This window comes from Homo sapiens, chromosome 22 (assembly GCF_000001405.40).
Source record: "Homo sapiens chromosome 22, GRCh38.p14 Primary Assembly".
NCBI classification, from domain to species: Eukaryota; Metazoa; Chordata; class Mammalia; order Primates; family Hominidae; genus Homo; species Homo sapiens.
The window spans coordinates 22,032,385-22,045,213 of record NC_000022.11 but is presented as its reverse complement, the minus strand read 5'-3'; the positions used below and the strand labels follow the sequence as shown (position 1 = coordinate 22,045,213).

General features: G+C 45.0%; 3 pseudogenes and 1 further gene across 1 annotated transcript in view, besides 1 other annotated feature; 1 reads left to right on the top strand and 3 right to left on the bottom strand.

Annotated features, from left to right (window-relative positions):
* Positions 1-12,829, bottom strand: part of IGL (immunoglobulin lambda locus) — an 896,838-nt gene that overhangs the window by 877,700 nt on the left and 6,309 nt on the right.
* Positions 1,280-12,829, top strand: part of PRAMENP (PRAME N-terminal like, pseudogene) — a 52,836-nt pseudogene continuing 41,286 nt past the window's right edge. The window contains exon 1 of the transcript NR_135291.1: positions 1,280-1,532. The product of NR_135291.1 is annotated as a PRAME N-terminal like, pseudogene (transcript). The remainder of the gene's footprint in view (positions 1,533-12,829) is intronic.
* On the bottom strand, positions 1,300-1,762 carry IGLV10-67 (immunoglobulin lambda variable 10-67 (pseudogene); annotated as a pseudogene). Its single transcript is given in 2 exon segments — positions 1,300-1,605; positions 1,720-1,762. Coding segments are annotated over 2 exon segments (349 nt in total).
* Positions 7,755-7,904: an enhancer, noted in NCBI's record as "active region_18719". NCBI's record gives its function as "activates an Ori minimal core promoter by ATAC-STARR-seq in GM12878 lymphoblastoid cells {active_cell/tissue: GM12878}" and the evidence as "EXISTENCE:reporter gene assay evidence [ECO:0000049][PMID:35858748]".
* Positions 12,009-12,312, bottom strand: IGLVI-68 (immunoglobulin lambda variable (I)-68 (pseudogene); annotated as a pseudogene). The gene is given in 1 exon segment: positions 12,009-12,312. A coding segment is annotated over 1 exon segment (304 nt).

Sequence of the window (12,829 nt, the reverse complement as noted above, 5' to 3'; positions counted from 1 at the left end):
CCACATTTCCTTTATATTGCACCTGGCATTCACAATTATGTCCTCTAATCTTTTACCTATTAGATTGCTCTCAAATACTTGTATTTTATTTCATTGATTAATCTTCTCCTTACAGAACAATTTTCCACTTACTATGCTTATAGGATGCATTAGGTATTAACTTCACAGTAAGAATCAGAGTTTCTTAAGAAGTGTAACTTTTCTAATAAAGTATATTTTAATTGTTGGTAAAAGTCTAAAATCTCACATGCCAAATAAACAAATAGGGGTCTCTGCAAAGAGAAAAAGGCCCTTTGATCAATGTGTTTCTATGTTGTGGTTGTATGGGGGTCATCTAAATGATGGGTGAAGATGGGGTTGGGGTTGCTACTCACTTCATTGGAGGAGCGGGCAGAAACCTGCCTCTGCATTGCAGTTGCATAGGACACAGTGCTCTCTCCTGGGTTGTATATTAACAAGTCAATGTCCCTGGAGCCATGTGGGGGGCAAAGATGTGGGGGGCTTTGGTCCGCCATTAGAAATGTGGTGCTGTCACACATGCATTTTTATCTCGATGGAAAACTATCTTTAAACCAGATATTTTCCCCAAAATATCAAAAATCATTTTCAACTACAAGCTAACGCTCCCACTTCATTTGTTCTTTCCAGATACTGCCTGAGGTATGTCAGAGGATAAGGAAAGGGCACAACAAGAGCACACACATGGGATCATTGTCTTGTGTGGGTGTTGGGGGCAAACAGGGACGTGGGGCCCAGGAAGCCTCAACTAAGTGTGAGGAACAAGTCTGGGTCTGTAGAAGGAATAAAGAGAGCTCTGTGACAGAGGGAAAGGGGATTCTAATGAGAGGACAGGCATGGGCCCAGGTCATAAGAAGGTGGGATAAGCTTGAGGTGACCCTGCTGAACACACACTCAAAGGCAGACCACCGGAACCTCTGAGCATTTAGTCCAGCATCTCCAAATAAAAGAGAAGGAAAATCTGGGAAAATAAATATTTCCTTAGTTTACCCTTGCATTCATTTTTACTACTGATTAATGCATGTGTATGTTCATGTAAGTATCTAGCCACAAATATATTCACAACAATGTTTCCTATAAATATTCATTAATACTGCAGATTTAGTTATTTTAACTTATGATATTATTTTTAATAGTTTTGAATAGCACACACTTTGTCACGTGGAAACCAGCCCTTGTCATTTTTGGTTTAGTTTAAACAGTGCTCTATGACGCCCCCGCATACCGAGTGAAGCTAGGGGAGCTCCTGAGTTTTCGTCTCACTTCCCCTGAGGCGCTGTGTGAGCACTGAGGCTGCTGTCCCAGGCTGAGCAGTAATAGGCAGGCTTGTCCTTGGTCTGGAGGCCAGAGATGGTCAGAGATGCCATGTTCCTAACCGGGAGCCAGGGAATCTCTCTGAGATCCCTGAGAGTTGGCTGTTTTTCCTGTTGATCAGGTGTTTGGGGGCATGGCCCTGGTGCTGCTGCGGCCAGACAGCTCCATCTTTGCCAACATTGTTGCTGTCCCCAGTGCAGGTGAGTGTGGTTGTCTATCCCAAGCCCTTGGATACAGAGAGCTGCTGAGTCTGCCCTGCCTGGGCCACAGACACTGCAGGGGGACAGAGAGGGCCATGAGAGCAGGTTTACAACCCAGTGAGCCAGAGAGTGAGGGGGTATGGAGCAGAGCTGGGTGTGGATCCCCCGACATAAGGTTCTTTCTCACCTGAATAGTGAGGGTGGAGATGGAGGAGAGGAGCCCAGAGCATAGTGCAGATTTCCAGCTTCCTGGAGCACTGCTTTGGAAACTGAGCTCCTCTAAGTACCTTTGTATCTCCCAAAAACGTCGTAAGGTAGAGTCACTGTATTCACATAAGACCTTGCTATGTGTCTCTTACTTGTCCACCCTGATCTGGGTACTCACAGGTCAGAAGGAGAAAAGATAAAGAGGAGATGAGCTGACCCAGTGGGTGGAGGTGGCCTGGCTCATTATGACTCTGGGTCGGGGCAGGTCAGTGTTGCATCCCAAACCTAGTCCAGTGAGCTGATGGCTGAACTCCCTTGGAGGCCCTGAGTGGTTTTCATTTGGGCAGGATCATCTCAGTGATGATCCTCACTGTCCTCAGACCCAAAATATTTCCTGCCTCTCTGCCACATCCGGGCATTTCAATGAGAGGAGCATCGGTTGTCCTGATCCTCTTTTCTGAAGCTGTTCATGAGGTTGGAGAGGAATCCAGGGTAGCTGGGAATTCTAAACAAAGCACTCATCAGGCTTAGCGATGCCCTTCTTACTAACAAAACGTTTGTCTTTCAGCTGTATCACCACATACATTGTGATTTCACTTAAGTCATCTATTAATATTCATTTTCTGTTTTAATTTTTTTATGAAAGCAATGCTCACAGGGTTGAATCGCATTCATTTTATTGGCACTCATATCTTCAGCTACTGAAATAACTCTCTATTGTTTTAAATTATCTTTTAACCTTCGTATGTGTTTCCATCTTTTTCAGAGGCTCTTACATAAGTGTATATAATGTGCTTCCAGTCTAACTTTCAAATAGCTCATGGTATAAACTTAAAAAAAATTATAGTGCATGTTCATATTTTAAAATAATTTATTTCTTTAGCTCTTGGCTTTTTAATTTTATTTATATATTTATTGCCTTTGAAACTCATAATAATACTTTTATTTTATTACTTCCAACTAGTTAGCATTCCATCAGCTAACTGCAGGTTATAAATTCCCCTTGTGTTTGACAACTAGCTTGTTTTTTATACTTTTCCCCTAGTAAGGACCTTCTCATAAACATTTCCTTGTGTCTCTGTACAGAGTGGACTTGGTGCAAGACAGATGCTCACCCTCTTAAGGTATCTTCGTGCTGAGGGACTTTGCTCAAAATAGCTGAATTTGTTTTTACAACCTGCTGTGAGTGAGAGTTTGGGATTCCCCACATCCTCACTGGCATCTTTTTTTTTTATTTAAATTTGCAATATCATTTAACAGCTTTCCACCCTCAGTGGCTTCATGTCTTACTCAGAAGTATGCCCACAGGAATCAAAGGTCACTCAAATCCCACATTATCTACCTCTTCTCTCTCTTTTATCTTTCTGGCCCAGGCTCTAACACTCTAAACTTTCTTTTCTTGGTTTCTCTACAAAAGGGCTTCTCACTCCCTTCTTGCTCTTTTCTTACTCTCTTTGCTTTTTGCAAGGCCTGGAAAGCTCCCCATGCACAGACATGCTTGGCTCATTCCACAATTTCTACTTGAAGATCTTATTCCCTTCTCTTTGTCTCTGGTGGAATTTAACATATTTTGATGTCACATTTATCTGCTCTCATTTTGAGACCCGTGAATGGCTTGTTTGTGTCCTTTGAACATTTTTACTGGGTTTCCTTTTTTTCTGTCTTCGCTCATTTCAAAGTTGTCTTCTGGATGCAAACAGCAATACTTTGTCCTTGCCAATGTCTTTCCACTCTTGCATATCCTTCTCTCTTTTTACCAACTGTGGTCCTCTTTGGGAAAAAAAAAGCTTCAAATAATTGCAACCAAATACTTCAAATTTTCTTTTATGAATTGACTTTTGGGTTTATTTAAGAAGTACTTTCTCATATGAAATAAAAATAATATTTCTATTTTTCCAAACTAAAGTTTTTAAACTTTTTCTTTTCTAAATTATATTTTAAATCTGTTTGGATTTTTTAATAAAAGTATGAATTAGGTACTCTACTTAATTTTATGAACAGAGTTAGCCATATTTCCAAGGTCACATAAAAAATCATCAGTCCTATCTACTCTAATTTTTAAGAGAATTATGTAAATGTCAAGATCTCAATCATGCATGATTTTAGCTAATATTGCTTGGTCAAATAACTCAATATCTGGTATCACTTCCATTACAAATTTTTGGTAAATAATCTTAGGTAATTTTTATCTCAATTTTCAATTTGAGTTTTAAAATAAGTTAAGCAGTTTCCTAAAATATTACTGAAATTTTAATTACACTTATATTAATTTGATGGATTAATCCTAGGACACTGCCATCTTTACAATACTGATTTATACAATCCATGACATAGTATAACTCTTATAGTGTATTGGTATTTTGTATTTTTTAACATTGTTTATTATTTTCTCCTATTAACCCCTTATACATTCATTGTCACATCATTTAAATACATTTTTATAATTTTTAGTTAATATGCATTATCTGTGTTGTACTTTTTAGAATAAAAAAGAAAAGTTCAGCAGCAAGGCCTCTATTCCATGACCATAATCCCATAGTGCTGCTTTTGTTGGGGCTTCAGGAGTCAGTAGTGAAAGGGAGAGTGACAGATGAGAAAATAGAATTAGTTAAATCTGAGTTCCTTTTCCAGTCGCTAGAGACACATGTGAGACCCAAGGATGCTGTGCCAGCTCAAGGGTGGTCTCCATGTCTTTCTTGCTTTCTGATGTGGCTGGAATTAGCCTCCCTCCATCCACACCATTATCTTTCTGAACAGGTTCTGCAACTCCAGGGACAGGACATGTATTACCCAAACCAGTCTGACAGTTCACCCCAGTCACCACGATGGTGTCAGGGGACATGGTGTGACTGATCTGGTCAAGTTGTCCTGAAGGCCAGAATTCCTGATCAGTGGGTCAGGGATGGCAGGTCTCGATCATTCTGGGGGGATTGTGTGCAAATTGAAATCCTGGGACTGAGGAGGTAATTTGCTCCCATGTGAGCATTCATCCAGGGGCAAGAAACGGTCATGAAGAAAGAATATCTCAAAGAAGTCTAAGAGGGAGATTCCTCTCTTGCCATCTTGAATGAAAAAGTCTCTTTGATACCTTTGACAAAGGCTAACAGGCAGTTTGATATTTCCGTTGGAGTAATGAGCTCAGGGCCTCCCCCAGCCCCCTTGCCCATGAAGGCTCCTTCTGCAGCGTGACTCAATACCATCCTGTCCATGTCCTAAGGCCAGCCTTGAGCCCTCTCCCCTCACCCAGGCTTCAGTCCCTCCTCCCCACAAACATATGCTGGGTATAAACAGTCTCCCCCAGTGACCCTAGTTGGACCCACAGCCATCATGCTTCCCACCTCCTTGTCCATCTTGTCTGAGGCATCTGGACTTTTCTTCACAAACTTAGCTCAGATCCTCTGTCTTCCTTGTCCAACCCTCTGATGGCTCCTCTACCACCATTACTGAGCTCTCCTCTCCTCTCCTCACTAAGTGATGACATCTTATTGTATTGATATTATTACTCAATTGTCTCATCTCTTCCACCAGATGGTGTCTGGTCCATGAGGACAGGGACACTTCCTGTCTTGTCCACCCTGTTTCTTGAGCCCCTAGACCTAAGGCTGGCACATAGTAGGTGCTAATTGAATGGTGTGGATGGACAGACGTCTGGCAGTTGAGGCTCTTTGGTCAGACACAGTGGGTGCTGTGTTCCTGGTCCTGTCCTGATCCATGATGGACTTGGTTCCCAGGGAAGCCTGACCCTGGTATTGAGGAATTGATATGGCTTGGCTCTGTGTCCCCACCCAAATCTCATGCTGAGGAGGGGCTGGTAGGAGGTGATTGGATCGTGGGGGCAGATTTCTTTCTTGCTGTTCTTAAGATTCACTATCATGAGTGAGTTCTTGTGAGTTCTGGTTGTTTAAAAGTGCGTAGTATTTCCCCTTCTCTCTCTCTCCTGCTCTGCCATATCAAGATGTACTTGCTCCCCTCGTCCTTCCTCCATGATTGTAAGTTTCCTGAGGCCTCCAATTCATGCTTCCTGTACAGCCTGCAGAACTGTGAGTCAATTAAAGACTGTGAGCCTTTCTTCATAAATTACCCTGTCTCAGGTAGTTCTTTATAGCAATGTGAGAATGGACTAATATAGATATTTATTTCAATATATGACAGTATGACAATTTATTATTGCCAAGGGTTGGATATGGGGGTAGAATTGAGAGAGGACTGGGAAACATTATTTAGACCATGTTTGCTTCAGTGCTTCTCATACTCCACATTTTGTCCACCAAAAAAAATCACAGTTAAGCACTTATTTGGTGAATGGGTTGGGGGCTGCACAGGGAAACTCTGTCACTGGAAAGACAGCATATCTTTGTCTTCCTTCCCCGGTGGCCTACAGTTCTGTGTGAGCATTAATGCTTGTGTGCCAAGATAAAGAAAAATAGTCAGCCTTATCCCCAGACTGGAGCCCAGAAATGCTCAGCGAAGCCTGTGAACCAGGACAGAACCCTGAAGGCCAATGGCTGTTTTCACAAATGAGGAGCTATGGAGCCATTCCTGGGAGCTGCTAGTACTCATTAACATGAAAACCACCCCCAGTGCTGGTGGCACTTCCAGTGCAGGAGATAGTGACCCTCTATCTTGGGGCCCCTGCCACTGATGGAGGTTGAGTCAGCACAGACTTGGCCCAGGACCCTGGAAGTGGAAGAGACACAGAAGTGGTGATACTGTTCTAGAGACAAGATGAGAAAGCAGAGTCCCTTGGGCTTCCCAGGGCTCCTCCCCTGGGCCTGTGTCTAGTCACCTGTACAGTGAGTGAGGAGTATGAGGAGGAGAGGGGACCAGTCCATGGTGGAGATTGGCCTGATTCCTGCCTTCTGTGCCTACAGCTACCGCAGAGCTTCTCCCAATCTTTCTCCCTCTCTTTATACTCTTTGAGGAAAAAAATCCACCTATGCAAGTGACAACCTCTCAGCTTTTTGATCCCACTCTGTGTTTGGGTCAGGATCAGGGCCCTGTGCCTTTGGGGATCAGGGGAATGAGCAGGAGTGGAGCTGTGTTGTCCCAGGGGTTTGGAAGTTCACAGCTGTGAGGACTTAGCAGAGGGCAGGAGTCAGAATAGGTGGATGATGCCAGCTCTGAGCACACACACACCCTTCAGGAATGGACCCCAAACACTCTCTGTTGTCCAGCCCCAGACACACTACTGGCTGATATGCTAACCATTCAAGTTTAATACCATCATGGAAGTAAAATAAATTGTAAGATTTATTTTTCAGAAACACAGTAGTCTAGGTAATTTTTGTAAAGATAATATATATTGCAACAAAATAATTGAAGCTCTCTGAGTCCAATTTCAAATATGATAGAGATCTCAAGTATGACACTGAAGGAGAAAATATAATTGACTAATATCCTATGGCTCTTGGTGTTTATTTATGTGAGGCAGAATGCAGTGGAGAAACCCTGTGAGCAGTCTGTGCAGTGACTCAGTCTGATAAGAGAGCAGAATCCACTGAATACATGTTGTCCCTTCATTCTGTGCCTCCCATAATGCATTGTGCCACACCAGCCTATTGTGACTCTCAGCGGGGACTCATGAATTCAATACCATGTCTTCTGTCTGCATTGGGTGAAAAACCTGTAGGTTTGTCTGTAGAGTGGGACACTGGATCATTGGATTTCACAGCCAGGCAGGGGAGCTGGACTAAGTTATTCTTACTGTCTCTCAATCAACACACTTCAGTCTCCTCAGATTCTGGTTTTTCGTGTTTGTTTGTTTTGGTATTGAGATAGGATTACTTTTATCTTACACTCATGAGATTGAAAAAATAACAAACATTATTTGTTTAAAATGTAAATTATTTTCACTGTCTCCAGCTAGGGTACTGTCAGGCTAGATAATACACCATTTTTTTGTTGAAAGAAAGTAAGGAAGGCCTTCTGTCCTGCATTGTTCCATCACCACTAACATCATTGTGAAGAGGTCACCAGGGGACAATGTGAAACTTCTGAGGTCAGCAAGGCCTGAAGCAAACTCAAATGGTTCCTATTTCAACAAAGTTGGACTCTTGCTTACAGGCCTGTGCACATGGTGGAGCAGGTGCTTCCTCCCCAGGGGCAAACTCAGAACTCACAGCCACCCTACACCTCCCCTTTAGAGAGGAGCTGTTCTCTGGGATGAAGACTCAGAAATGTATGCCTATGATGGTGGTAAAAAGAATCAGGTTTGAATAATGGACCAGACAAGCACTGACATTTTACCAAAAAATTTGAGGGAGATAAAAAGAACATTGCGGTGTCCAGCCTCAGTTTGAAGACCCAGGGGTTCCTGCAACATCCACACCATGGCCTGGACTCCTCCCTTCCTCCTACTCTTCCCTCTTCTCTCACACAGCTCAGGTTCATGGAGATCTGGGTGGGGCTGGGCAGATGAGGGACCAGAAGGCCACTCGAGAGGGGGTGTTCTAGGCTGACCAGTCTCTAAAGGAAGAAGGTGCATCACCAAGTACATGTGCCCCTTGAGCCTCAGTGGGCTCATCTAGAAAATGGGTTTTTCTCTCAGCAGAGCCCATCTAGATGGGTGGGGGCTCAGTGGGGTGAAACCTCACCCCTGGATCGCAAAAAAGGGCAACATGGAGAGAGGCGCCTGAGAGATGCCAGAACCAACTCTGACCATCTGGCCCTCAACTCATCGCCTTGTAGATGCTGCCTGTTGGCCAGGCCTGGTTAATTGTTTTCCTTCTTCTCTGCCTTGAATAAACAGGGATTCCCAAGGCTGAGCAGAGCCTCACAAACAGGATGAGGCTACTAATGTACCTTCCCTGCCCATGGGTGCTCTCCCTGTTAGGTTCCCCTTCAGCTCTCAGGCTGAGGGCAGAGACAAGAGCAGGTTCACAGCTGACTCTTCCAGTTCAGCCCCATCCTGAGTCCAGTACAATGTGGCCAGTGTGGTGAGAGGCAGTTCTTCAATTGTCAAATAGTTATTGAGTGCCTACCTTCTCCTGGGCACAGAGTTTAGTGTTGGGAATGCCATGATGATATAGACAGCCTCATTCCTGCTTCATGCTGACCCTAATGGGAGCACAAGGATGGGAGGCCACAGGGGACCTCCCTTCCTCCCTTCTGCCACTGGGGGTAAGGAGGCCAGAGAAGCCTCTGCCGCACTCAGGGTTCTGATGCAGGATGACCTGGTGGGATCATAGAGGAGGAGGGAACAGGGTGTGACATGAGAACTGAGGAAGCATCAGCATGTCCTTAGGCTTCCTGGGATTCAGGTGAAGATGTAGAGAAATTCACAAAGTAGATATGGAGGGAGAAACACAGAGCTGAATAACAGAATCCAGGAGAAGAGAATTCCCAGGAATACAGGGATTGTGATTCAGAAAGAGAGACCCTGGCAGGGCAAGTGCCTCAGAAATCCAGTAACATGCGATGTGGTTCCCTCAGGCCAGGAGCTTACTTACTGGCAGGGCCTGATCTGTTAGGGCTACTGGAAAGGAAAGCAGGAGAAGCCATGTGTCAGCAGGCGGAAGCGTGCAGAAAGGTGAGAACACGGGCAGAAGGAGAGTAGATTTCACTTGAGGAGAGCCTGGAGAGGAGGTGTGAGATGGGAATGTCCAAAATCTTTGCTAGATATTTTATATAAATTGGATCCTGTCACTTTGTAGATTTTTTCTTACAGGAGAAGATAAATTCAGAGCTTAGAGAGTTCTACTATTGTTGTTTAGGACAGTGTTTCTCTAACACAGGAAATTATCCTCACAGGTCCTGCCCTCGTGGAATAGAAACTCTGTGTGTTTTAAAATGTTCTTTAAAATTATTCACCATTTTACTGGTCTTTTCAGAAATATGAGTCGATTAAAATTTTTGACATGTTCATCTTACATTTTTGAAAGTAATGTATAATCTTTTTATTATAATCATACTCTAACCCTTTTGAGGTTATTCATTGAGAAAACCAAGAAAATTTACTACCTTGTATTTACACTGTTGTTTCTAAGGAGTGAACTCTTGAATCTCTGGAATTTATTTTCTTGGATCATGGAGTAGTTCCTATGAGGAATTAAAACTTTTTCCTTGTTCACCTGTATTTTTCTAGAAGATATCTCTCCTCTGTTCCTTTCTTTGTGACAATGGGCTATTGATAAATGCTTTTCTTTTTTATTCCTGAAGGAGGTAAAATAGATAAATGTTTTGGCATCATTAGCTAGTTAGTGGAAAATAAGCCATAAGAGGGAATAAGAACTTAAAAGAAGGTGCAGAATTTGGGGAAAGAAGTGGCTGTAGGCCTGAAGACATAACTTGATCTTATTGGATAGAGACAAAATATTCTAGAGAGACACTGAGAAGGAGAGTCTAAAGTTTCAGGGCAAAAAAAGGAGAATTCAATTAGAGCTTTAATAGCTAGATTGGTGTCCTGAAAGGACAGAGACAGTGCTGAATTAAACAGGCTGACACTGATCCCAGACCACTGGGACAAGGGCCCCATGAAAAGTAGACTCTCAGCAATGACACAGATGTCCCGGAAAGCAGTAGCTTTGGGAGGTGAGCAGAAGGAGGCCCCACTTGGAAGTGTGTGGGCACTGGGAAAGGTGCAGGTGCTGGACCCTCAGGCTGCTTCTCACCTGAGGGAGGGACAGGTGCACAGGTGGTGGGCAGTGGCCACTCCTGTGGCTTCCTGGCCTCCTTGCCTTTCTTACCCACTCTGGGACAAGGAGGCCATCATGGGGATGTGTATCTGCTTCCTCCCTCTCCTGAGACTACCTGTATCTCAGGTCAGTGCCTGCATGGCAATAGTGTGTCTGTCTAAAATTGGTCTGTGGGAAGAATGTCAGCAACATCAGGGAGCTTGAGCTGTAACTTTGTGAGCCAGAAATCGCCTGGCTTGTGATCCTGTCCAGGTCCCAGCATCTACAGGACAAAACCCAACATGAACTAAGGATGGGAGTGGATGACAGAGTGATGCACATTGTGGGATCACGTAGGCAAACCTCCTTTTTTTCCTGTTGTCTGGACCCAAAGTCTCCCAGCCATGAGATGAGCATGTGACTGACCCCAGCTGCAACTACAGGCATCTGCATTCTGCTGTCCAAACCGATCAGACAACCCACTGGTCAACATGATGGTGTCAGGGGAGATGGTGTGAGTGATCTGATCTAGTATTCTCAAAGGCAAAAATTCCTGGTGGGTTGGTCAGAGTGCATTCCCTCATTCTGGAGCATTTGTGTGTGAATGTGATACCTGAGACTGAGCAGTATCTTGTTTGCGCATGGGAATTTAGCCTAGGGACAGGACAGGACATGGAGAAGAGACATCTCAAATAAAACTCATAGTGGGATTCCCCCCTTGCCATTTGGAGAGAAAAGCGTCCTGTGACAACTTTGAAAGAGGCTGGGAGGCTGTTGTCTGAGTTTCCATCATGGTGATTAGCTCAGGGCCTCCCCCAGCCTCATTGCTCATGGAGGCCCCCTCAGCAGGGGTTTCGCATCCACTCCCTCCACTTTCCAAGGCTATTCCTGAGCCCTCTCTCCTCACCCAGGCTTCAGTCCCTCCTCTTACAAACACAGGCTAGACCTGACCTTTCTCTCCAATGACCCCAACTGGCCCCGTGGCCTTCATGCTTGCTGTCTCCTTGTTCATCTTCTTTGAGGCATCTGGACTTTTCTTCATAAACTTGAGTCAGATCCTGTGTCTTCCTTGCCCAACCTTCTGATGGCTCCTCTACCCCCAACTGAGCTCTCCTCACTGTGTGATGACATCATATTGTCGCATTGACATTTTTACTTGATTGCCTTATCTGTTCCACCACTCAGTGTCAGCTCCATGAGGACAGGGCCCCTTCCTCTCTTGTTCATCATGTACCTTGAATCCCTGGATCTGAGGCTGGTGCATAGTAGCTTCTCAGTGAATGAGGTGGATAAACAGACCTTTGGGAGTCGACTATCCTGAGTCAGACACAATGACCCTGGTCCTGTTTTGACCCATTATGGATTTGGTTTCCAGGACAGCCTGATCTTGGTATTGAGGGATTTCTCTTAATATGAGACAATACGACAATTTGTTACTGCCAAGGGTTGGGTGTGAGGGTAGAATTGAGAGGACAGAAACACATTCTCCACACTGCGTTCACTGGAGTGAGTTTTAAAATCTAAATTTTTACTAAACAAATGAAAAGCAACGTTAATCAGCTGACTTGCCCAAGAAGTGGGGGCTGCACAGAGAAGCTCCATTGCTGGATGGGCAGCAGCTTTTTCTCCCACTTCCCCACTGGCCTGAAGTACTGCCTGAGCCTTGGTGCTTGTGTCCCAAGCTGAGAATAAAAATCAGCCTTTTCCTCTGCCTGGAGTCCAGAGATGCTCAGAGAGGCCATGTTCTCCAACCTGGAGCCTCAGCATTGGGCCTATGCCCCTAAGGGTCAATGACTGCTTTTATATATGTGGAGCTCTGGGTCTCTCGGAGGCATGTTTGTACCAGAGCACATGCCCGTGCCCAACATTGCTGCTGCTTCTAGTGCAGGAGCTGGTACCCACCTGCCCCACAGATGCATGCACTGCAGGTGGCTGGGTCAGCACAGGCTGGGCTCAGGACGCTGGACATTAAGACAGACACAGGGTGAGAGGTGGGTCAGTGGACAGAGACACATGCATAAACCTTGGTCTTTTGATCACCAGCCCTGACACTGAGCCCTAGCCACCTGTGCAGTGAAGGAGAAGGCGGGGGAGAGACCACAGTGGAGACCCATACATAGCTCTACATCCTGAGGATCATCAACTGAGCCTGGGCTCTCCAAGTCCCTTGTACTCCCTCCAGCAGCTCAGGGTGAGGAGGGCATCCTTCATACCAACCAGCCTCCTCCCCTGGGCTGTCCAAGCCCTTTCCTGGGCCATGACTTCGATCCCTCCCTGAAAAGCTGACACATGAAGAGGATGGTCTTGGTTGATGCTGTTCTGTGGCTCCCTGGGGGCCTATAAGGAAACAGCTGCTGGTCTTGTGAGCAGGGGGTAGAGGGCTCCAGCCCAGGGTCAGGGAGTGGCTCTCGTATGGGGTCTCCAGCACAAGATTTAGGGACAGACCACAGAACAGCCTACTGCTTGAGGTCCAGATGC